The sequence below is a fragment of the Homo sapiens genome, chromosome 17 (assembly GCF_000001405.40).
Source record: "Homo sapiens chromosome 17, GRCh38.p14 Primary Assembly".
Classification (NCBI taxonomy): domain Eukaryota; kingdom Metazoa; phylum Chordata; class Mammalia; order Primates; family Hominidae; genus Homo; species Homo sapiens.
In genome coordinates, this window is record NC_000017.11 from 11,588,220 (window position 1) to 11,590,358 (window position 2,139).

The 2,139-nt window shown below is 44.4% G+C and overlaps 1 annotated feature.

Annotated features, from left to right (window-relative positions):
• Nucleotides 1,640–1,840: a silencer, noted in NCBI's record as "peak2724 fragment used in MPRA reporter construct". NCBI's record gives its function as "represses an SCP1 promoter by STARR-seq MPRAs in K562 erythroleukemia cells {active_cell/tissue: K562}" and the evidence as "EXISTENCE:reporter gene assay evidence [ECO:0000049][PMID:32103011]".

Below are 2,139 nucleotides of genomic sequence, written 5' to 3' on the forward strand. Positions count from 1 at the left end.
TGGATGTTCTGCTTCCACTGAACCAACTCCAGCTTCCACAGGCCAAAGGCCTCCAATCAGGGCACACATGAAGCCTTCCCTTCTTTCTGCTACAAATCTTTCCCACTCCTCTGCTTGCCTTTGAATCTATACCAAAATGTAAGTGATGGCAGCTGACTCTTTTGACATAGCCTTTGCTTGTTCTCATTTGGGAGGCCTTTGTTTATTTGCATAGTATGTTGTTATTATCCTACATCTAAACTAAAGTTGTTTCAAGATGATCTCTCTTAAGGTATGAATTCTGTTCCTACAAAATTCATATGTTAAACCCCTAGCAAGACAGAGCAGGGACCTCTTCTTAGGGACTTCTCTTAGGGTCCCCCCAAAACATAGAAATAGAGGAAAATTGTGAGCTCCTTCAAGGGAAATTCCAGGCACCTAGCTAGCCTTAAAAAGCAAGAAAGTGGCTGGATGCCGTAGCTCACACCTGTAATCCCAGCACTTTGGGATGCCAAGGCGGGCGGATCACAAGGTCAGGAGATCAAGACCATCCTGGCTAACATGGTGAAACCCCATCTCTAGTAAAAATACAAAAAAATTAGCTGGGCGTGGTGGCACGTGCCTGTAGTCCCAGCTACTCAGGAGGCTGAGGCAGGAGAATGACGTGAACTCGGGAGGTGGAGCTTGCAGTGAGCCGAGATCGTGCCATTACACTCCAGCCTGGGCAACAGAGCGAGACTCTGTCTCAAAAAAAAAAAGAAAGCAAGAAGGTAACAGTAGTGTGAAACAACAGCCAAAGAAGTTAGAGCCACAAGATATTTGATTCTCTAGAGAAACTAAAGATAACATCTTCACGTTTGTTCCTGAGTTGTTTTTCAAAACCCAGATGCTCACCAGATGAAAAATACTGTCCATCCATGGCACATAGACCTCAGATAAGAAGGAACTAAAGACTGAATTCTGACCACTGTTCTTTGTTCTAAATTTCTTCCTGAGGGCCCTAAATAAAGTCATGCTCACAGGCAAAGCCTTAACATTCCTTACTGCTGACCCCAAGTTTTTAGACAAAGTCTTATTTCCTTAACCAACTGCAAATCAAAGAACCTCTGAATCCACCTGTGACCTGTAAGCCCCCACTTCAAAATATCTCACCTATTTGGACTAAGCCAATGTATAGTCCCCATGCATTGATTTACGACTTTGTCTGTAACCTCTGCCTCCCTGACTTTAAAAACTCTTACATGTAAGCCATCTATGAGTTTGGGTCTTAAGCATAAGCCGCCTGGTTCTGCTTGCTTGGCACCCCGCAATAAATGCCTCACTCTTCTCACATTGCAAATCTTGATGTCAGAGTTTGACTTTGCTACTTCAGGCAGGCGGATCCAAGTTCAGTTTGGTAACACTAACTCCTAGTACATGAATTATGATTATATTATAGAGACTGTTGTGGGAATCAGGAAACCAGAGAGTCCATATGGGTGGAACAGGAGGATTTTATTTAGGTGACCACCGGCTCAGCAGATTAATATCCAAAGGCTGAGCCATGAATGAAGACAGGGCTTGACTTTCATCCATGCAACCGAAGTGGGATGGCTTGCCAGTGGCACAAAACTTGTGGGGCAGGGAAAGTGAGCTTACAGAAGCAGAACAAGGCAGTTAATCAAACTGTGACAGGTTCCTAACTCAGGCTTACATGTGACTCTTGCTATGCAGGCCAGGTGGCTATTATCTAGGTTTGCTCAAGATGCCTGCACAGCCTTATCTTGTGTCCTTCGCTATGGTACCCAGATGGCTGCAATCTAAGCACGCTCAAACATGTCTCATGACCTCCATGGTGCTACAGAGACTTACAGACTGTAGTTACAGAAAACAGGAAACCATAAACTCATAAAAACTTGCACAGCAGGGTCCAATCACACAGAATGGGGAGGGATTCGAGGGGGAAGCTGCTCATACCAAAGGAAAGAGGGAAAATTTGTTTTTCCTCTCACATCTCCTGCTTCAAGACAGAGCCTTTAAAGAGGTGATTAAGTTAAAACAAAGGCTTTTGGGTGGGTCTTAATCCAACCTGACTGTTGTCCTTCAAGAGGAAGAAATTTGAACACATAGAGAGACACCAGTAATGCATGGCACATAAGAAAGGCCATGTGAGGACGCAGC